General features: G+C 43.0%; 1 annotated feature.

Moving 5' to 3' along the window:
- Positions 12,383-12,677: an enhancer, noted in NCBI's record as "tiled region #8802; HepG2 Activating non-DNase unmatched - State 23:Low, and K562 Activating non-DNase unmatched - State 3:PromF". NCBI's record gives its function as "activates a minimal TATA promoter and a strong SV40 promoter by Sharpr-MPRA in HepG2 and K562 cells {active_cell/tissue: HepG2 | K562}" and the evidence as "EXISTENCE:reporter gene assay evidence [ECO:0000049][PMID:27701403]".

Raw genomic sequence — 23,595 nt, forward strand, 5'->3', positions numbered from 1 at the left:
TAAACTCTAATTTTGCTAGGGGAGGGGGAGTGTGGTGGGGAGGGCACAACCCACCCCCATTAGGCCCTTAGGAATTATAACATGAAATCTTAAAACATAGTTACAGTTTCTTGCTTAGAACTTATACCTGGCCGGGTGTGGCGGCTCACACCTGTAATCCCAGAATTTTCGGAGGCTGAGGTGGGTGCATTGCTTGAGCCCAGGATTTTAAGACCAGCTTGGGCATCATGGTAAAACCCCATCTCTACAAAAAAAATACAAAAATTAGTTGGGCATGGTGGTGAAGCTACTCAGGAGGCTGAGGTGGGAGGATCACTTGAGCCTGGGAGGTTGAGACTACAGTGAGCCAAGATTGCAATACTGCACTCAAGCCTGGGTGACAGAGTGAGACCCTGTCTCAAAAGGTGGCAGTTGCAACCCTGGTCCTAGACCCACTGTGTCAGGTACAAAAAGAAAAGAAAATTGAAGTGATATGGAGAAGAAAAAAATGATAGTTGTTATACCAACGTACTCCTCCTTTGGCAAGAATTGCATAGACATACCAGCATCCTACTGACCCCCTTCCCCAGATACTTACACACACACATACACACACACACACAACCAGGAAAATCTAGTGGGGACACAGCTTTAGTCCCACCCATCATGCATGTGAGCACAGACTCATGAAGGTGCACACACCATCCCTCAGGCTTCTATCACTCCTCACCCTTGTTTTAGACAACCAATGTTTTCCTTTATTTTTTTTTAGCAACTAGACCACCAGGGAGATAATCAATGTTTGTTATTGTTGTTTTAATAAAGAAAAGGAATTTATTTCTTACAGTCTGGGAAGCTGAGAAGTCCAAGGTCTAGGAGCTGCATCTGGGGAGGGCCTTCCTGCTGGTGGAGATTCTCTGCAGAGCTCTGAGGTACTGCAGGGCGTCACGTGGCAGGGGTGCTGAGTGTGCTAATGTGTTCACATCTCTCTCCCTTCTTTTTTTTTTTTTTTTTTTTGAGATGGAGTCTCACTCTGTCATCCACATTGGAGTGCAGTGGTGCAATCTCACTGCAACCTCTGCCTCTTGGACTCAAGTTATCCTCCTATCTCAGCCTCCTAAGTAACTGGGACTACAGGTACACACCACCATGCCTAGCTAATTTTTTTATTTTTTTGTAGAGATGAGGTTTTGCCATGTTGTCCAGACTCCTGGGCTCAAGCAATCTGCCCACCTCAGCCTCCTAAAATGCTGAGATTACAGGGGCGAGCCACGGTGTCCAGACTCTTTTTTTGTTTTTTAATTTAAGTTCAGACGTACATGTGCAGGTTTGTTATGTAGATAAACTTGTGTCATAGGGGTTTGTTGTACAGATTATTTCAAAACCCAGGTATTAAGCCTAGTGCCCATTAGTTATTTTTCTTGATCCTCTTCCTCTTCCCACCCTCCACCCTCCAATAGGATCAGGTGTGTGTTGACAACCAATGCATTAATTGCCTATTTCACTTCTCTATCAAACCACTACTCTGAGGAGGATATCTCTGCCATTCTTGGGCATTATGTACAGTATGTTCTTTGGTCTGAATAAATAATTTTTGGTCATCCAAATCCATGCAATATCTTCTGTTCTGTTTTTATTATTATAAAACATATCTACTCATTTCATGAACTCAGGTGTCCACCTCAAGGAAGCCCACAGGGATATGTGCTGTCAATTCTAGTCACCTTCTAAACCTGGAACCATTAGCTCTTCTAACGGTCATCAATGGGTCCTGCTTCAATGCACTCCTCAAATTTCCATAGGACCATGACCCACATGGGCATTCTTTTAATAGACAAGGGTTCCATTGTTGTCCTGCCTGACTATGTGGCCCAGCCAATGCCCATGAGCTAACAAACCCAAACACAGGAGCTTTTACCACTGTTCCATCCTTCAGCATGCAATTCAGCCCATCAGGCTGGTCTGTTGTTATCTTCTTCAATCAAAGTGGCATCCTTCCAAATAGGATGTTGTCTATTCACCTTGAAACTGCCATCCATAAGTCAAGCAGCTATTTCTCAGTCGGTTAAGAGCTATTTATTAGGCATTGTAGAATCCAGCAGCTCCTCACCCAGTCCCACAGTTCCAGAGTTAGTCCTAGGGGAAAGAGGCTCCCTGATCATGAGTGTTTCTTACCTGCACTCACTAGATAACATGATCTCATATAAAACACTCGTTTTTATTATGGAGGCCTTCTGGGCACTGTCATCCCATTAGAGTGTTTCTCTGACATCCTAGACATTATAGGTATTTCAGGTTTCAAGGTCATTTTATGTCCTTCAGCGGCAGGGGAAGCTCCAATTAATGTCACATAACAAGGAAGTAAGGGCACACCCGTGGAAATTCTCTAGTCTAAAGCACCAATAGTTATTATTGGAAGGCACTCATAGACTTTTTCCGTAAGACCCAGTAAATGTTCCACACAGGATACTAAATGGAGAATTTGCCCAACCAGCACTCCAGCTTCTACTCTGCATTGTGTAGGCCTAGGCACTCTTACTGGGGTTCCCATTAGTGTTACAGTCTCACCAATGCACTACAATGTAGCAGTCTCTCGTTGTTTGAGGTATGGCTGGAAGTTCTTTGTCTCACAACCATGAAAAGTAAGGAGCGTGGACACCAAGGGTGAGATTAGAGCAAAAGTTTAATAACCGTAAGAAGAAACCTCTCTGCTGTTAGAGGGGGCCCAAAAGAGGGTTGCCATTTTTACAGCTGAATGCAAATGCTTTTATAAGAAACCAGTGGGCCTCTTGCGGTGGCTCATGCCTGTAATTCCAGCACTTTGGGAAGCTGAAGTGGGCAGATCACCTGAGGTCAGGAGTTTTGAGACCAGCCTGGCCAACATGGCAAAACCCAGTCTTTACTCAAAATACAAAAATTAGCCAGGCATGGTGGCACGTGCCTGTAGTCCCAGCTACTCAGGAGGCTGAGGCAGGAGAATTGCTTGAACCCAGGAAGTGGAGATTGCAGTGAGCCGAGATCACGCCGCTGCACTCCAGCCTGGGTGACAGAGCAAGACTTCGTCTCAAAAAAAAAAAAAAAAAAAGAAAGAAACCAATGAGGGAAGTACAAGACACTTCCCAGTTAGATACAATGTCCATCCCCATAACACAATCAGGTAAAAGAGAGGCATCCACTTCACATGAAGTGTATTCAAATATAACTACTCCCCTATGAACTTTTATCTTAAATCCATCAACCCTTACTTTCCTAACTGTGGTTCCCAGTGGATATTATCAACAGGTTTTGGCTTTATGATACTAGTTAAAGGAATGTTCCCCTAGACAAATTAAAGAAAAATCCTGTCAACACTCTCATTTTGTGTTCTAATCTCAGGAACTTCTCTGTCCCTGGGCCATTTTACCCTCTCTCATGCAGAAGACTTTGTGTCTCCTTGAGCCCTTTTATCAATCTTTATCTTAATTAATTTTCCTAACTAGTGCCCTAGACAATATCAGATCAAATTTCTCATTGTAATCTCTGCCTTCAGACTCTCAATTTCTCCAGATTGAGGTAAATACAGCAAACCTATTTGGAACCCCTTAATTATTAAGAGGGGCTCCCTTTGGTCCACCCAGCCTTTTATAGTGTTGTATTAACACCTGTGTTTTGACCCAATCTTGTAAGTAACCAAGGAAAGAGAGAGAGAGAGAAATGAGAGAGTCATGGCCAACATGTATTTTTGTACTAAAAATACAAAAATTAGCCAGGCATCATGGCACATGCCTGTAATCCCAGATACTCGGGAGGCTGAGGTAGGACAATCACTTGAACGCAGGAGATGGAGGTTGCAGAGAGCCAAGATCATGCCACTGCCCTCCAGCCTGAGGGACAGAGCAAGACTCCATCTCAAATACATATGGCGAAGGAACATGTTTTAGGGTAAAATAGTTTGATTTTCTTCTTTGTCACGTAATGTTATGCCAGAGTCATTGGAAAGTAAGTCATGATATATAGGCTTAAATAAAACTCATCTGATGAGAATTTGATTTGTAGGGCATGACTTTCCAGACTCCTTAGATAGGAATTTGGGCAAGGTAAGAAAAAAACAGAGCTTAGTCCTCACTGGCATTCAATGGCTCAGTCACAGCTTTCTGCAGCCTCAACCTCCCAGGCTCAAGCAATCCTTACACCTCAGCCTACTGAGTAGCTGGGACTACAGGCATGCACCACCACACTTGGCTAATTTTTTATTTTTTGTAGAGACCAGGTCTCATTATTGTAACTGCCCAATGGGTTCACCTTGCCCAGTACCTAGATAGAGCTGATTTATCAAGACAAGGGAATAGCAATAGAGAAATATAATTCACACAGAGCCGGCTGTGTGGGAGACCAGAGTTTTATTATTACTCAAATCAGTCTTCCAGAGTATTCAGGGATCAGAGATTTTTTTTTTTTTCTGAGATGGAGTCTCACTCTGTCGCCCAGGCTGGAGTGCTGTGGAACCATCTCAGCTCACTGTAACCTCTGCCTCCCAGGTTCAAGCGATTCTCCTGCCTCAGCCTCCCGAGTAGTTGGGACTACCGGTGCCCACCACCATGCCCGGCTAATTTTTTTTTGTATGTTTAGTAGAGATGGGGTTTGACCGTGTTAGCCAGGATGGTCTCGACCTCCTGACCTCGTGATCCGCCTGCCTCGGCCTCCCAAAGTGCTGGGATTACAGGCGTGAGCCACCATGCCCAGCCTCAGGGATCAGAGTTTTTAAGGACAACTTGGTGGTGGCGGGGGAAGCCTATGAGCCAGGGAGTGCTGATTGGTTAGGTAGCAGATGAAATCATAAGGAATCGAAGGTGTTCTCTTGTGCTGAGTCAGTTCCTGGGTGGGGACCACAAGATCAGATGAGCCAGTTTATTGATCTGGGTGGTGCCAGCTGATCCATCAAGTGCCAGGTCTGTAAAATATCTCAAGCACTGATCTTAGAAGCACTTTAGGGAGGGTTAGAACCTTGTAGCCCCCAGCTGCATGACCCCTAAATGATAATTTCTAATCTTGTGGCTAATTTGTTAGTACTACAAAGGCAGTCTATTCCCCAGGCAAGAAGGAGGTTTGTTTGGGAAAAGGGCTGTTATCAACTTTGTTTTAAACTATAAACTATAGACTGGGCATGGTGGCTCATAAGCCCAGCACTTTGGGAGGTGGAAGTGGGTGGATCACCTGAGGTCAGGAGTTTGAGACCACCCTGGCCAACATGGTGAAACCCCGTCTCTACTAAAAATACAAAAATTAGCCGGGCGTGGTGGCGCATGCCTGTAATCCCAGCTACTCAGGAGGCTGAGGCAGGAGAGTCGCTTGAACCTGGGAGGCGGAGGTTGCAGTGACCCGAGATCACACCACTGCATTCCAGCCTTGGCAACAGAGTGAGCCTCCAACTAAAAAATAAAAATAAACTATAAACTATAAACTAAGTTCCTCTCAAAGTTAGTTCAGCCTGTGCCCAGGAAGGAACAAGGACAGCTTAAAGGTTAGAAGCAGGGTGGAGTCAGTTCGGTTAGATCTCTTTCACTGTCTCAGTCACAATTTTGCAAAAGCAATTTCATTATATTGCCCAGTCTGGTCTCAAACTCCCAGGCTCAAGTGATCCTCCTGCTTCAGCCTCCTAAAGTGCCGGGATTCCAGGCATGAGCCACTGCACCCAGCTCTCTCCCCACACTGACTACCTTCTTGGTGAACAGAAATCTTAGAGATAACTTCTGTTGCCCTGGCAGAATTTTCCCCTTTGAGAGTGGCCTTGAGGCTAAGTTGCCTGAGATCAGACAGACGACCTCTGACCTTTTGTCCAGCCTCAAGGCCCAACCCAATACTTTCTTTTACTTTCATTTTAGCTAGTACAGATAACAACCAAGGGATTGTGTGTTCATCATTCTTCTGATTATTTTGCATTTCCATACATATCCAATGGGCCAACTCCTGAGGAGTTAGGTCTACCATAATCTCTAAATTCCACTGGTAAATTTGACCTTTAGTTACTGAACCCAGTGCAGCTGCAGTTTCATACTATGGGTGACTAGGGCACCACCCAGAGATCAAATATTCCTCTCCCCCCACGCTTTTATCCTTTATCTTTCCAAACCACAAGTTTCCACGAGCCAGGTCTGTTCCAGCAAATGCTGCTTTACTGATACCAATTCTGAGTAGAAAAACAAAAAAAAAAAAAAAACAAGCTAAGGCCAGGGATGGTGGCTCACACCTATAATCCCAAAGCTTTGGGAGGCCAATGTGGGACGATTGCTTGAGCCTAGAAGTTCCGAGACCAGCCTGGACAACATAGCAAGACCACTTCTTTATTAAAAATTAAAGACAATTAGCCAGACATGGTGGCACATGCCTGTAGTCCCAGCTACTCGGGAGGCTGAGGCAGGAGGATCACTTGAGCCCCAGAGGCTGCACTGTGCTGTGATCATGGCACTGCAGTCCAGCCTGAGCAACAGAATGAGATCGTCTCAAAAACTAAAAAAACACGCATTGTTTTTTTCACCATTCTTGCACCCCAACAACCAGCACAGAAGACTTCTATAACCAAATATGTGGGTTTTTCCCCACACCAGCAAGCAATCATTTCTGCAGTAGACACCAGCTGGGTGCCCTTCAATTCAGTCCAATTCTGACACTCTCTACCTGGAGATGGAGTGAGGGCTCAGTCCCACAAGACCGCCCTCCTACTTCCAATGCCAGTTGCAAGCACAGATAGTGGCCTGTGCTTCTCACTCACTGGCTATAAACTGGGATTCCCATGCTCCCCTCCTGGGGCTCCATTAGTTTTCTGGAATGGCTCACAGAACTCAAGGAAATATTTATTTACATTTGCAAGTTTATTTTAAAGGATATTGACATGGAAACAGATGGAGAAGTGCACAGAGCAGAGTAGAGGGGAAGAGGTTCCAAGCTTCCATGCCATCTCCAGGTGCACCACCCTCCAAGAACCTCCAGGTGTGCAGCTATCTGGAAGCTCCTAGAAATTGAAATTTTTTTTCTTTGAGACCGAATCTCGCTCTGTCATCCAGGCTAGAGTGCAGAGGCATGATCCAGGCTCACTACAATCTCTGCTTCCCGGGTTCAAGCAATTCTCCTGCCTCAGCCTCCCCAGTAGCTGGAACTACAAGCATGCTCCACCACACCCAGCTAATTTTTGTATGTTTTAGTAGAGACGGGGTATCACCACGTTGGTCAGGCTGGTCTCGAACTCCTGATCTCAAGTGATCTGCCCACCTTGGCCTCCCAAAGTGCTGGGATCACAGGTGTCAGCCACTGCACCCAGCCAGAAATTGACATTTTTGATGGAAACTAAAGATCAGGCTTCTAGATAAAGGAATAAAATAAAAGGATCTTAATCTTCTGACAACATGTTAGAGAAACTGACAAGAAGATTTATAAGAAGATAAGATAATATCTTCAATAAAAAGTCAATGTGAGCTTTTGGTGCCCTTGAAGGTAACTTTTATGCAAAAAAAGATTATTTCAGGGGTCACTTTTGTTTTACAATTCAGTATTTATTTTAGCAAGGTTAAAAATTTGAAAACTTTGTTCTTTCTTAGATATAAATTAAATTTGTAAATCTTATGCTATTCATAAATTCAAAAACTTAACAATTACTTAAGGATTTTTTTATGCAATTAATATTGTAATAATCTTAACTATCACCATAAGTCAATATACTACAATTTCTTTTTTAAGCATTTCAATTGTCTAATAAAAACCAATTTTCCCAAGCACTTCTATAATTTATAAATCTAATGTGTTAAATTTTTACATGTGTGGAATGTGAATCTTAAATTACATTCAATATAATGAGCAGAAGTTACTCAATTACACTTAAAAAAAATAGAGACAGGCAGGTCTCGAAACTCCTGGGTTCACTATGTTTCCCAAGCTGGTCTTGAACTCCTGGGCTCAAGGATTCCTCCCACCTCAGCCTCCCAAAGTGCTAGGATTACAGAGATGAGCCACCCTGCCTGGCCTCAGTTACACATTTTAAATTATAATCCCAAGGCTGTGTGGAAATAAAGAAAGCATTAAAGTTGTTGGAACTCAAAATGCTTTAAGTCTTGAAAGAGATGGGACTGTGATCTGAGTTGGGTAGCATGTAGTTGCAACTTCTGTTTCTCAGATTATATATTAACTCTCTCTCTCCTTGTTCTGTAAATGACTAGGAGAGACAAGAGACCAGACCTATTCTCCTAATCACTGACCTTTGTTATAGATTAACCTCCTCCTTTTCTGTTCTGAGTTTTGTTAACTCAGACCAGATGGCGCAAAAGACCCCATGACTATTACATCTTCAGTATGGAACGTTAAATATACTTTTCCTGAAAGAAAAATATCACCTCAACCAATGAGATCATTGTAACTATGCATTAAGCCTTATATAGAAAGATGTTGAAATTCCGTTAAACTTCCCTTGTCTATATAAACAACCCTAGACATCTATGCTTCTGAACACATACTTCCATTCTTTGGAATCTGTACTTCCAGGGCAGCTATCCCACAAGGTTTGTGCTTGAATAAACTCTACAATTAATCATATTTTCTGAATTTTGTTATTTAACGTGGACAGCTGATATGTCCAGTTACCTTCTAAAATGCCAAATAAACATGCATAGGTTATTTCTAAATTTGATGCCAAAATATTAATTGTATTGGTTTGACTTACTTGCTTCTCTCTGTATTTAATTCTAAGTCTTCATGGTATTAAGTCAGCACACACTAATAAGACACATTTGGTGTTAACTTCTTCGTTGGATTTTGTGTTAACTTCTTGGTTGGCTAACTATGTATATCAATCATGGATTTAATTGAACATGAGATGCAGAGCTGCAAACACTAGGGCAAATTTTTGCACAATATAGAATGCAGTATTGAGTCCTTTTCTATAGTCTTTGAATCAGTAGTCTTAAATGCATGTCATTTAGACGGGGTAATGTCACAACCCAGTGTTGTGGGACTTTTTCCTTAGTTCAGCTAAGAGCCAGGTCCTTACCACACGGCCATGAAAAATTAGCCTCGCAGATGATTTTAAGGGTGAGAATAATGGGATTTATTGGGAAAAAACCCTCTCTCACCACTCCTATTCAACATAGTTTTGGAAGTTCTGGCCAGAGCAATCAGACAAGAGAAAGAAATAAAGCGCATTCAAGTAGGAAGAGAGGAAGTCAAATTGCCTCTTTTTGCAGATGACATAATTCTATATTTAGAAAACCCCATCATCTCATCCCAAAAACTCCTTAAGCTAATAAGCAACTTCAGCAAAGTCTCAGGATACAAAATCAATGTGCAAAAATCACAAGCATTCGTATACACTAACAGTAGACAAGCAGAGAGCCAAATCATCAATGAACTCCCATTCACAATTTGCTACAAAGAGAATAAGATACCTAGGAATACAGATAATAAGGGACGTGAAGGACCTCTCCAAGGAGAACTACAAACCACTGCTCAAGGAAATAAGAGAGGACACAGATGGAAAAACATTCCAGCCTTGTGGATAGGAAGAATCAATACCTTGAAAATGGTCATACTGCCCAAAGTAATTTAGAGATTCAATGCTATTCTCATTAAACTACCATTGACATTCTTCACAGAATTAGAAAAAAACACTTTAAATTTCATATGGAACCAAAAAAAGAGCCCATATAGCTAAGACAATCCTAAGCAAAAAGAACAAAGCTGGAGACATCATGCTATCTGACTTCAAACTATACTATGAGGCTACAGTAACCAAAACAGCATGGTACTGGTACCAAAACAGACATATAGACCAATGAACAAAATAGAGACCTCAGAAATAAGACCACAGACCTACAACCATCTGATCTTCAACAAACCGGACAAAAACAAGCAATGGGGAAAGGATTCCCCATTTAATAAATGGTGCTGGGAAAACTGGCTAGCCATATGCAGGAAACTAAAACTGGACCCCTTCCTTACACATTATACAAAGATTAACTCAAGATGGATTAAAGAGTTAAATGTAAAACCCAAAACTATAGAAACCCTAGAAGAAAACCTAGGCAATACCATTCAGGACATAGGCATAGACAAAGGCTTCATGATGAAAATGCCAAAAGCAATTGCAACAAAAGCCAAAAATTCTACAACTATCTGATCTTTGACAAACCTGAGAAAAACAAGAAATGGGGAAAGGATTCCCTATTTAATAAATGGTGCTGGGAACACTGGCTAGCCATATGTAGAAAGCTGAAACTGGATCCCTTCCTTACACCTTATACAAAAATTAATTCAAGATGGATTAAAGATTTAAATGTTAGACCTAAAACCATAAAAACCCTAGAAGAAAACCTAGGCAATACCATTCAGGAAATAGGCATGGGCAAGGACTTCATCTCTAAAACACCAAAAGCAATGGCAACAAAAGCCGAAATTGACAAATGGGATCTAATTAAACTAAAGAGCTTCTGCACAGCCAAAGAAACTACCATCAGAGTGAACAGGCAACCTACACAATGGGAGAAAATTTTTGCAATCTACTCATCTGACAAAGGGCTAATATCCAGAATCTACAATGAACACAAACAAATTTACAAGAAAAAAACAAACAACCCCATCAAAAAGTGGGCGAAGGATATAAACAGACACTTCTCAAAAGAAGACATTTATGCGGCCAAAAGACACATGAGAAGATGCTCATCATCACTGGCCATGAGAGAAATGCAAATCAAAACCACAATGAGATACCAGCTCACACCAGTTAGAATGGCAATCATTAAAAAGTCAGGAAACAACAGGTGCTGGAGAGGATGTGGAGAAATAGGAATGCTTTTACACTGTTGGTGGGACTGTAACCTAGTTCAACCATTGTGGAAGTCAGTGTGGCGATTCCTCAGGGATCTGGAACTAGAAATACCATTTGACCCAGCCATCCCATTACTGGGTATATACCCAAAGGGTTATAAATCATGCTGCTATAAAGACACATGCACACATATGTTTACTGTGGCACTATTCACAATAGCAAAGACTTGGAACCAACCCAAATGTCCAACAATGATAGACTGGATTAAGAAAATGTGGCACATATACACCATGGAATACTATGCAGCCATAAAAATGATGAGTTCATGTCCTTTGTAGGGACATGGATGAAGCTGGAAACCATCATTCTCAGCAAACTATCACAAGGACAAAAAAACCAAACACCGCATGTTCTCACTCATAGGTGGGAATTGAACAATGAGAACACATGGACACAGGAAGGGGAATATCACACACCGGGGCCTGTTGTGGGGTGGGGGGAGGGGGGAGGGATAGCATTAGGAGATATACCTAATGTTAACTGACGTGTTAATGGGTGCAGCAACCAACGTGGCACTTGTATACATATGTAACAAACCTGCACGTTGTGCACATGTACCCTAAAACTTAAAGTATTAAAAAAAAAGCCAAAATTGACAAATGGGATCTAATTAAATTAAAGAGCTTCTGCACAGCAAAAGAAACTATCATCAGAGTGAATAGGCACCCCACATAATGGGAGAAAATTTTTGCAATCTACTCACCTGACAAAGGTCTAATATCCAGAATCTACACGGAACTTAAACAAATTTACAGGAAATGAACAACCCCATCAAAAAGTGGGCAAAGGATATGAACAGACACTTCTCAAAAGAAGACATTTATGCGGTCAACAAACATGAAAAAAAGCTCAACATCACTAGTCATTAGAGAAATGCAAATCAAAACCACAATTAGATACCACCTCACCCCAGTCAGAATGGCAATTATTAAAAAATCAAGAAACAATAGATGCTGGTGAAGCTGTGGAGAAATAAGAATACTTTTATACTGTTGTTGGGAATATAAATTAGTTCAACCATTGTGGAAGACAGTGTGGCGATTCCTGAAGGATCTAGAACCAGAAATACATTTGACCCAGCAATTCCATTACTGAGTATATATCCAAAGGAATATAAATCATTCTACTATAAAGACACATGCACACATACGTTTATTGCAGCACTATTTACAATAGCAAAGACGTGGAACCAACCCAAATGCCCATCAATGATAGACTGGATAAAGAAAACATGGTACATACACGTTGTGGAATACTGTGCAGCCATACAAAGGAATGAGATCACGTCCTTCGCAGGGATATGGATGAAGCTGCAAGCCATCATCCTCAGCGAATTAACACAGGAATATAAAACCAACCACCACCTGTTCTCACTCATAAGTGGGAATTCAACAATGAGAACATATGGATGCAGGGAGGGGAACAACACACACTGGGGCCTGTCGGGGGTGGGGGCCAAGGGGAGGGAGAGAATTAGGACAAATACCTAATGCATGCAGGGCTTAAAACCTAGCTGACGGGTTGATAAGTGCAGCAAACTAACATGGCATGCGTATACCTATGTAACAAACCTACACGTTCTGCACTTGTATCCCGGAACTTAAAGTTAACAAACAAACAAACAAAGGCAGGGGAGGGGCAGGGAACAGGGACTCTCCAAAAGGCCAGAGTTCCTGCTAGTGTAGGCTTCTCACCTCACAGATTGAATTCCGGCTTCCACCCAGGAGGGGCCAGGCTCCTCCCTGCTGCAAACACGTGGCAAAGTTCTGTGGCTCCACCCCAGTGCCTATTCCTCTTAGTGCACACTCCTCCCAGTGCGCAGGTCAGTTGAAGACTCTGCCAGGTAGCCCTTCCCACCTGGCTCTCTCACCAGGATCCAGCTTCACTTACTTAATTACTGAAAGACCAGCTCAGGCCGAGTGTGATGGCTCATGCCTGTAATCCCAGCACTTTGGGAGGCCGAGGCAGGCGCATTACTTGAGGCCAGGAGTTCAAGACCAGCCTGACCAACACAGTGAAACACCATCTCTACTAAAAATACAAAAACTAGCCAGACATGGTGGTGCATGCCTGTAGTCCCAGCTACTTGGGAGGCTAAGCCAGGAGGATCGCTTGAACCTGGGAGGCAGAGGTTGCAGTGAGCTGAGTTGGTGCCACTGCACTCCAACCTGGACAATAGAGTGAAACTTTGTTAAAAAAAAAAAGAAAGAAAAAGAAAAAAAGACCAGCTAAGGTTTGTCTGCAGCTTCCACCAAGGTTGCTAATTAGTTGTTTGGATTCAACTAATCTGTTGTATTTGTTATTCTATTCTAAGTTATTTCCACGTTCTATCAATAAGACAACATTATATTTTTAGTAGAGATGGGGTCTCACTCAAACTCCTGACCTCAAGTGATCCACCCGCCTGGGCTTCCCAAAGTACTGGGATTACAGGCATGAGCCACTGCACCCGGCCAGAGAAAAACTTTCAGCTAATATTTGACAAGGGTGGCAATAATGCACCATGGGGAAAGGATAGCCTCTTCAAAAAACGGTGGTGGGAAAACTGAATATCCACATGCAAAAGAATGAAATTGGACTCCTATCGTACATCACTCACAAATATCAACTCAAAATGGATGAAAAACTTAAATATCAGTCTGGAAGGCATAAAATTTCTAGAAGAAAACATAGGAGAAAAATTCTTTGATATTGGTCTTGGAAAATTTTTTTTTTTTTTTTTTTTTTTTTAAGACAGAGTCTTGCTCTGTCACCCAGGCTGGAGTGCAGTGGTGCAATCTTGGTTCACTGCAAACTCCACCTCCCAGATTCAAGCGATTCTCTGCCTCAGCCTCCTGAGTAGCTGGGATTACAGGCACCCGCCACCATGTCCGGCTAATTTTTGTACTTTTAGTAGAGACGGGGTTTCACCATCTTGGCCAGGCTGGTCTTGAACTCCTGACCTCGTAATCCACCAGCCTTGGCCTCCCCAAGTGCTGGGATTACAGGCATGAGCCACCAAGCCCGGCTGGAACAATTTTTTTTTTATATGACACCGAAAGCACAGGCATCTAAAGCAAAAATAAACACATCAAACTGAAAAGCTACTGTATAGCAAAAGAAACAATCAACACAGTGAAAAGGCAGCGTATGGAATGTGAGAAAATATTTGCAAACCATATGTATGACAAGGAGTGAATATCCAAAATATATAAGGAACTCATACAACTCAATAGCAAAAAACCCACAAATAATCCAATGGGCAAAGAAAAGACATTTTCCCAAAAAAGACATACAAATAGCCAACAGGTACATGAAAAGGTGCTCAACATTACGAGCCATCAGGAAATGCAACCAAAACCACAATAAGATAGCACCTCACACCTGTTAAGATGATGCTTATCAAAACAAACAAACAAACAAACAAAACAAATCTAGAGATAACAAGTATTATTGAGGATGTGGAGAAAGGGGAACCCTTGAACATGGTTAGTGAAAATGTAAATTGGTACAGCTATTATAGAAAATGGAGATTCCTCAAAAAAAAAAAAAAAAAATAGAGCTATCCTATGATCTAGCAATCCCACTTCTGGGGATTTATTTTGCAGCTTCATTGAGGTATGAAGGATATAAAATTAATGTCTCAAAGGGAAGATCTGAACTCCTGTTTGTTGTGGCATCATTTACAATAGCCAAGAAATGGAAACAACCTAAGTGTCTATCAATAGATGAACAGATACACATGCACACACACACACACACACACACACACACACAAAATGGACTATTATTCAGCCATAATAAAGAAGAAAATTGGACCAGGTGCTGTGACTCACACCTGTAATCCCAGCACTTTGGGAGGCTGAGGCAGGCAGATCACAAGGTCAGGAGTTCGAGACCAGCCTGGCGATATGGTGAAACCCCATCTCTACTAAAAATACAAAAATTAGCCGGGCATGGTGGTGTGCACCTGTAGTCCCAGCTACTCAGGAGGCTGAGGCAGGAGAAACGCTTGAACCCGGGAGGCAGACATTGTGGTGAGCTGCGATCACACCATTGCACTCCAGCCTGAGCAACAGCGTGATACTCTGTCTCAATAAAAGAATAATAAAATGAAAGAAAGGAAAGGAAAGGAAAGAAAGAAAGAAAGAAGGAAGGAAGGAAGGAAAGAAAGAAAGGAAGAAAGAAGGGAGGGAAGGAGGGAGGGAGGGAAAAGAAAATCCTGTCATTTGTGAGAACCTGGATGAGCCTTAAGAGCATTATGCTCAATGAAATAAATCAGACAGAGAAAGACAAACATTGTATGATCTCATTTAAATATGGAATCTGAAAAACCCAAACTCACAGAAACAGAAGAGAATGGTAGTTGTCAGGGTTGTGGGAAAGCAGAAAAGGAGAGATGTTGGTTAATGGGTACAAAGTTTCGGTTGTGAGTTCTGGGGATCTAATGTAGAGCATGCTGACTATAGTTAACAATACTGCATCACATACTTGAACTTTCCTAAGAGAGTAGATCTTAAACGTTCTTACCACACACACAGCTGTGTGAGGTGATGGATGTGCTAACTAACCTGATTATGCTAAATATTTTACATTATACACATATATCGAATCATCACGTTGCATACCTTAAATTTATACAATTTTACTTGTCAATCATACCTCAGTGAAGCTGCAAAATAAATAGAGGGAGATCCATCATTAACTGTCCTTTCTTAGGAAGTATTATTTGAATATATCAACACAAGATTAACAAAATACCTTTCTTTCTCTTCATAAAATTAATCAGTGTTTTAAATTTCTTTACAAAACCCTCTCATTCTAAATTTTCCTCTTGGTAATTATAGCAGAGGCATTCATTCCTACAGATTTTACAAACACAGCAATATTAGTTTAAGGTGTGTTTCAATCAAAAGTAAATATAAATATAAAACATTCACATTTCTTCCTAATTGATTTCAAATCCTTCATGAACTATTTTTGCCATTAATGGCAGACTGAATTTTCTTTTAAATTTTTGTCATTGTTATAAAATAATCAATTAGTTCATTATCAAGTGGTAGCTTGAATCTCCTCTCATGTTTCATCAAAGATCTTCCCCTTTTGGCCGTGCGTGGTGGTTCACGCCTGTAATCCCAGCACTTTGGGAGGCTGAAGCAGGTGCATCACTTGAGGTCAGGAGTTCGAGACCAGCCTGGCCAACAGAGTGAAACACCATCTCTACTAAAAATACAAAAATTAGCCGGGTGTGGTGGCATGTGCCTATAATCCCAGCTACTCAGGGAGGCTGAGGCACAAGAATCTCTTGAACCCAGGAGGCAGAGGTTGGAGTGTGCTGAGATCGCACCACTGTACTCCAGCCTGGGCGACAGAGCAAGACTCCATATCAAAAAAAAAAAAAAAAAAGAGAAAAAAGATCTCCCACTTTTAAATTGATGTATATTTCTACTTTGCTTGATAATATCTATTAACAAGTTTTAATTCTTCAATCCACAAACGTATTTTAAGTGATTATCACCTACCAATTAGAAAAATAGCAAGAATGAGAACTAAAATGCAATGGCAGTTTAAAATACAACAAGCTCTGTGCCAAGAAATTTTTATTTAATCCCATATTTATAGATAAACACTTTAAAAGATTAAGTAATAGAGTGACAGAGAGAGAACTACTAAGCAGGTGTATCCAATGCTAACTAATGCCTGGGAATTAGCCAAGGTTACTCTGCCACGCCCTGCAGAGAACGATGCCATCTTCCCAAGCAAGGCAGTGACCACACACAACCTGACAGATCCAACTGTTGGAGAGAGGAAGGACAGGGGCCCACTCCTGCTGGAAACTCTGCACTGCCTCTTTCAGCCCCACACAGTCAGCTGCCTGGATCCCAAGCTCTTCCCCTGGGCATGAGTGAGCTCTTGGCAAGAGGCGTATGTAGCCCAGGCTGCACCAGCTGTTGCAGAAAACCCAGAATTTATTTGTTCCATCACTCATTCTGTAGTGGAGATTTTAGCTCATGTCAGAGTAAACCCGGGTGTCATGTGTCAGCAATGCGGCCATGGACAGCCTTGGTACACGCACAGGATAGCTTTATGTACATAAAGTCATGCACTGTAACGACCGCCTATACAACAGTGATTCCATGAGATTATACTACCATATATATACATATATATATATATTTTTTGGCAACTCTGTAATACCGTATTTTTACTGTACTTTCTCTATGTTTAGATATACAAATACTTACCACTGTGTTACAATTGCCACAGTATTCAGTAGAGTAACCTGCTGTACAGGTTTGTAGCCAAGGAGCAACAGGCTGTACCACACAGCCAAGGTTTCGAATAGTAAGCTCTACCATCTAGGTTGGTATACGGGCACTCTATGATGTTTGCACAGCCACAACCACAAAATCACCTGAGGACATGTTTCCAAGAACTTATCCCCATCGTTAGGTCACACTTGACTGTGTTCTCCTGACACTTCTTTTTTTTTCTTTTTTTTTGAGACAGAGTTTCACTCTTGTTGCCCAGACTGGAGTGCAACAAGTGATTCTTTTGCCTCAGCCTCCTGAGTAGTTAGGATTACAGGCGCCCACCACCATGCCCAGCTAATTTTGTACTTTTAGTAGAGATGGGGTTTCACCATGTTGGCCAGGCTGGTCTCGAACTCCTGACCTCAGGTGATCCACCCACCTCAGCCTCCCAAAGTGCTGGGATTATAGGCGTGAGCCACCACACCCAGCCATCCTGACATATATGTGTGTGTGTGTGTATATATATATATATATATATATTTTTTTTTTTTTTTTTTTTTTGACTGAGTCTCGCACTGTTGCCCAGGCTGGAGTGCAGTGGCACGATCTCGGCTCACTGCAAGCTCTGCCTCCTGGGTTCACGCCATTCTCCTGCCTCCGCCTCCTAAGTAGCTGGGACTACAGGTGCCCGCCACCATGCTGGCTACTTTTTTGTATTTTTAGTGGAGACTGGGTTTCACGGTGTTAGCCAGGATGGTCTTGATCTCCTGACCTCATGATCCGCCCGCCTTGGCCTTCCAAAGTGCTGGGATTACAGGCGTGAGCCACTGCGTCCGGCCCATCCTGCCATATTCCTTTTTTTTTTTTTTTTTTTTTTGAGACAGAGTCTTGCTCTGTTGCCCAGACTGGAGTGCAGTGGCGCGATCTGGGCTCACCGCAAGCTCTGCCTCCAGGGTTCACGTTATTCTCCTGCCTCAGCCTCCCAGGTACCTGGCACTACAGTTGCCCGCCACCACGCCCAGCTAATTTTTTGTATTTTTAGTAGAGACGGGGTTTCTCCCTGTTAGCCAGGACAGTCTCGATCTCCTGACCTCATGATCCACCTGCCTCGGCCTCCCAAAGTGCTGGGATTACAGGCTTGAGCCACCGCGCCCGGCCCATCCTGACACATTCTTAATAGGTAACAGGCAGCTACAAGGGCGGTTTCCTTCTACAGCCTCTAGAAATAGTTTCAACACTTCACAATCTGCATTGTTTCCTACTAGGCTACCCTTGAAAACAATTCTCAGGAGAAGAGGAAAAGAGATGAAAAAGATATAGTCCCTGCCTTCAAGAAGCTCCTGTCTAATGCAGTGGGTGAGAGCTGAGATGAACAGCTCATGCAAGGTGATACGTTATGATAGAGGTATGATCAGAGTAGTGTGAGAAAACAGAAGAGGTTCTATTAATTGCAAATAGGTAGGAGGAGATGACCATTATGAAGGAATGATTATGCAAGAGCTTATAATTGAATAGGATTTGAAAAAGGTGTCAGGATTTCCCCAGGAGAGTAGGGGAGCTTGTTTTCCTGGAATTTAATACTGCATGAGCAAACACACAGGCTCCATGAGAAGGCAAAGACTTACATTCAAGAGTATGAGCCCCAGATTTGTAAAATTTAAATGCTGATGTACTCACAAACAGCAAACCTGCAAGCTGCACTTACCTGTCCCATATACTTCCATCACTTCCTTTCTTATTGGATAGACACAATAAAAGATTAACTGCAAGAAAACTATTTAACCATCTCCAGATTTAGTAAGAGGTGCAATAACAGATCTAAATTTGGGGACAAACTTTTTGTGCACAAGTCAGATTCTGAGCTAGGTCTGTCTTCTACATATAATTTAGAGTCATGCATGAAATGAGCCTCAGGGGTGAGAAAAAATAAGGATGGACTGAAAGAGGATCTGTTGCCTAAAGACCAGGAAGGTTGGGTATACTAAATATATCTGGTGCCATTTGAAAATGTATTCTTCCATGAAATCCGTAATTCTGGAAGGCAGTGGTTTGGGTGTTAGGTGAACATTCATCTCTAATAAAAGAAGTCTTGGATGTGAAAGGCCTTGGAATATGTACAAGGAGTTGACTCTCCTGAAGACAGAGAAAGTCTGTTCGAGTCTTTTAAACAAGGAGTAGCAAGGTTTGTGTTTTAGAAAAACACTTGTGGCAGCCGGGTGTGGTGGCTCATGCCTGTAATCCCAGCACTTTGAGAGGCCAAGGCAGCTGGATCACGAGGTCAGGAAATCGAGACCAACCTGGCCAACAAGGTGAAACACCATCTCCACTAAAAATACAAAAGTTAGCTGGGTATGGTGGCACACGCCTGTAATCGCAGCTATTTGGGAGGCTGGGGCAGGAGAATCACTTGAACTGGAGGCAGAGGTTGCAATGAGCTGAGATGGCACCACTGCACTCCAGCCTGGGTGACAGAGCAAGACTCTGTCTCAGAAAAAAAACAAAAAAACAAAAAAACAACAACAAAAAAAAACCAGAGCTGTCTCTGGTCAAAGCTGAAAGAATTTTTGCATGACTCTTGTTGATCTAAGAAGAAACTGAGGCAAAATTAAGTAGAGGGTTTATTTGGGTCAAGGTTGAGAGCTAGAGCCCAGGAGTCCTAGAACCGTTGCCCTGAGTATATGCTCCAAGTGGGTTTTTAAATAAAAAGAACTTAGGAGAACATTTCTAAGTTTACCAAGAATTTACATTGGTTCATTACAATAACATAAGCTATTGACTGGCTGTGCCTTGTCCTTGTATCACAAATCCCAGAATAATGGGTGAGGGTCACATTGTGCAACTTGTAGTAATATTTCAGGTAGTTTATCAGCTATCCGGAAACTACAGGGAAAGAAAGAAGAAACAAAATACCTGTAAACAATTGCCCAGGGCCTGGGTGCCAGGACTGTGACTGCAGTCTCATGCTCATGTCTCTCTGCGGCTGATAAGTTCTGCATACCTCACATTCCTCAGGCTGCTCTGAGCAGCTTTGCTTTTGCACTCTAACTGATGGAAATGTATAGAGCATGTGAAAAACCTGTGAGTTGATCAACATACTCAAAAAAGAGAGAGCCAAAGTGCAGATTAAACCAAAACAGATCAAATCAAAACAAAACAAACACATAAAAACCTTATTTGGCACCACTGGAGATGAAAATGACATTAACTCTTTATTATAAAAAATTAGTAGGGTGGGTATGGTGGCTCACGTCTGTAATCCCAGCACTTTGGGAGGCCGAAGCAGGTGGATCACGAGGTCATGAGTTTGAAACCAGCCTGGCCAATATAGTGAAACCCCGTCTCTACTAAAAATACAAAAGTTAGCTGGGCAAGGTGGCACATGCCTGTAGTCCGTTACTCAGTAGACTGAGGCAGGAGAATCGCCTGAACCCAGGAGATGGAGGTTGCAGTGATCCGAGATCACACCACCGCACCCCAGCCTGGGCAACAGAGTGAGATTCCATCTCAAAAAAAAAAAAAAAAAAAAAATCTCTTGAAGTTCTTGTGTATTTTCATCTTGTTTAGTGCAATGCCATAAACCTTGAATAGCACCATTGGACCCACACAAAGTGCCACTAGTGATGCTGGAAGTGCTTCCAAGAAGCAGAGGAAAGTCATGACATTACAAGAAAAAGCTAAATTGCTTGATATGTACCATAGATTGAGGTCCATAACTGTGGTTGCAACCATTTCAAGATAAATGAATCCAGCATAAGTGTCAGGCCTCTGAGCCCAAGCTGTGTCATTGTATCCCCTGTGACCTGCACGTCTACATCCAGATGGCCTGAAGCAACTGAAGATCCACAAAAGAAGTGAAAATAGCCTTAACTGATGACATTCCACCATTGTGATTTGTTTCTGCCCCACCCTAACTGATCAATGTACTTTGTAATCTCCCCAACTCTTAAGAAGGTTCTTTGTAATTCTCCCCACCCTTGAGAATGTACTTTGTGAGATCCATCCCCTGCCTGCAAAACATTTCTCCTAACTCCACCACCTATTCCAAAACCTATAAGAACTAATGATAATCCCGCCACCCTTTGCTGACTCTCTTTTCGGACTCAGCCCACCTGCACCCAGGTGAAATAAACAGCCTTGTTGCTCACACAAAGCCTGTTTCGTGGTCTTTTCACACGGACGCGTGAGACATTTGGTGCCAAAGACCCAGGTCAGAGGGACTCCTTTGGGAGACCAGTCCCCTGTCCTCACCCTCACTCCGTGAAGAGCTCCATCTATGACCTCGGGTCCTCAGACCAACCAGCCCAAAGAATACCTCAGCAATTTCAAATAGGGTAAGTGATCTTTTCACTCTCTTCTCCAGCCTCTCTCACTACCCTTCAATCTTCCTCTCTCAATACCTTCAATCTCCTTGTCCATCCAATTCCAGTTCTTTTTCCTCTCTAGTAGAGAAAAAGGAGACACATTTTATCCGTGGACCCAAAACTCCAGCACCAGTCATGGACTTGGGAAGACAGTCTTCCCTTGGTGTTTCATCACTGGGGGGATGCCTGTCTGATTATTCACCGACATTCCACTGGTGTCTGATCACTGCAGGGACCCCTGTCTTGGTCATTCACCCACATTCCCTTGGTGGCAACTCAATTGTGGGGACGCCTGCTTCGGCTGCTCACCCACATTGCAGCCCAGGGCTGCTCCCCACTCCCTTCTCAGTGTCTCTACCCTTCTCTTTAAACTTGCCTCCTTCACTATGGGCAACCTTCTACCCTCTATTCCTCCTTCTTCTCCCTTAGCCTGTGTTCTCAAGAACTTAAAACCTCTTCAGCTCTTGCCTGACCTAAAATCTAAGCATCTTATTTTCTTCTGCAATACCGCTTGGCCCCAATACAAACTCGACAGTGGTTCCAAGTGGCCAGAGAATGGCACTTTTGATTTGCCTATCCTATTTGCCTATCTAGATAATTTTTGTCAAAAAATGGGCAAATGATCTGAGGTGCCTGACGTCCAGGCATTCTTTACACATTGGTCCCTCCCTAGTCTCTGCTCCCAATGTGACTCATCCCAAATCTTTCTTCTTTCTCTCCTGCCTGTTCCATCAGTCTCCACCCCAAGCTCTGAGTCCTTTGAATCTTCCTTTTCTACGGACTCATCTGACCTCTCCCCTTCTCCCCAGGCTGCTCCTCGCCAGGCCGAGCCAGGTCACAATTCTTCCTGAGCCTCCACTCCCCCACCCTATAATCCTTTTATCAACCCCTCCTCACACCCCGTCCAGCTTACAGTTTCTTTCCGTGACTAGCCCTCCCCGACCTGTCCAATAATTTCCTCTTAAAGAGGTGGCTGGAGCTGAAGCCATAGCCAAGGTTAATGCTCCTTTTTCTTTATCCGACCTCCCCCAGATCAGTTAGCATTTAGGCTCTTTTTCATCAAATATAAGAACTCAACCCAGTTCATGGCCCATTTGGCAACAACCCTTAGACGTTTACCACCCTAGACCCAGAAAGGCCAGAAGGCCGTCTTATTTTCAATATGCATTTTATTACCCAATCTGCTCCCGACATTAAATAAAGCTCCAAAAATTAGATTCTGGCCCTCAAACCACACAACAGGACTTAATTAACCTTGCCTTCAAGGTATACAGTAATAGAGTAGAGGCAGCCAAGTAGCAAAGAATTTCTGAGTTGCAATTCCTTGCCTCCACCATGAGACAAACCCCAGCCACATCTCCAGCACACAAGAACTTCCAAACACCTGAACCACAGCAGCCAGGCGTTCCTCCAGGACTGCCTACCCCAGGATCTTGCTTCAAGTGCCAGAAATCTGGCCACTGGGCCGAGGAATGCCCGCAGCCTGGAATTCCTCCTAAGCCATGTCCCATCTGTGTGGGACCCCACTGGAAATCGAACTGTCCAACCCAGCAGCCACTCTCAGAGCCCCTGGAACTCTGGCCCAAGGCTCTCTGACTGACTCCTTCCCAGATCTTCTCAGCTTAGCGGCTGAAGACTGACACTGCCCGATCACCTCGGAAGCCTACAGGACCATCACAGATGCTTTGGGTAACTCCTATGGTGGAGGGTAAGTCCGTCCCTTTCTTAGTCAATATGGAGGCTACCCACTCCACATTACCTTCTTTTCAAGGGCCTGTTTCCCTTGCCTCCATAACTGTTGTGGGTGTTGACGGCCAGGCTTCTAAACCTCTTAAAACTCCCAAACTCTGATGCCAGCTTGGACAACATTCTTTCATGCACTCCTTTTTAGTTATCACCACCTGCCTAGCTCCCTTATTAGGTTGAGACATTTTAACTAAATTATCTGCCTCCCTGACTATTCCTAGGCTACAGCCATACCTCATTGCTGCCCTTTTCCCCACTTCAAAGCCTCCTTCACATCCTCCCCTTGTATCTCCCCACCTTAATCCACAAGTATAGGACACCTCTACTCCTTCCTTGGAGACCGATCATGCACCCCTTACCATCCCGTTAAAACCTAATCACCCTTACCCCACTCAAGGCCAATATCTCATCCCACAGCATGATTTAAAAG

Source organism: Homo sapiens, chromosome 7, assembly GCF_000001405.40.
Source record: "Homo sapiens chromosome 7, GRCh38.p14 Primary Assembly".
Classification (NCBI taxonomy): Eukaryota; Metazoa; Chordata; class Mammalia; order Primates; family Hominidae; genus Homo; species Homo sapiens.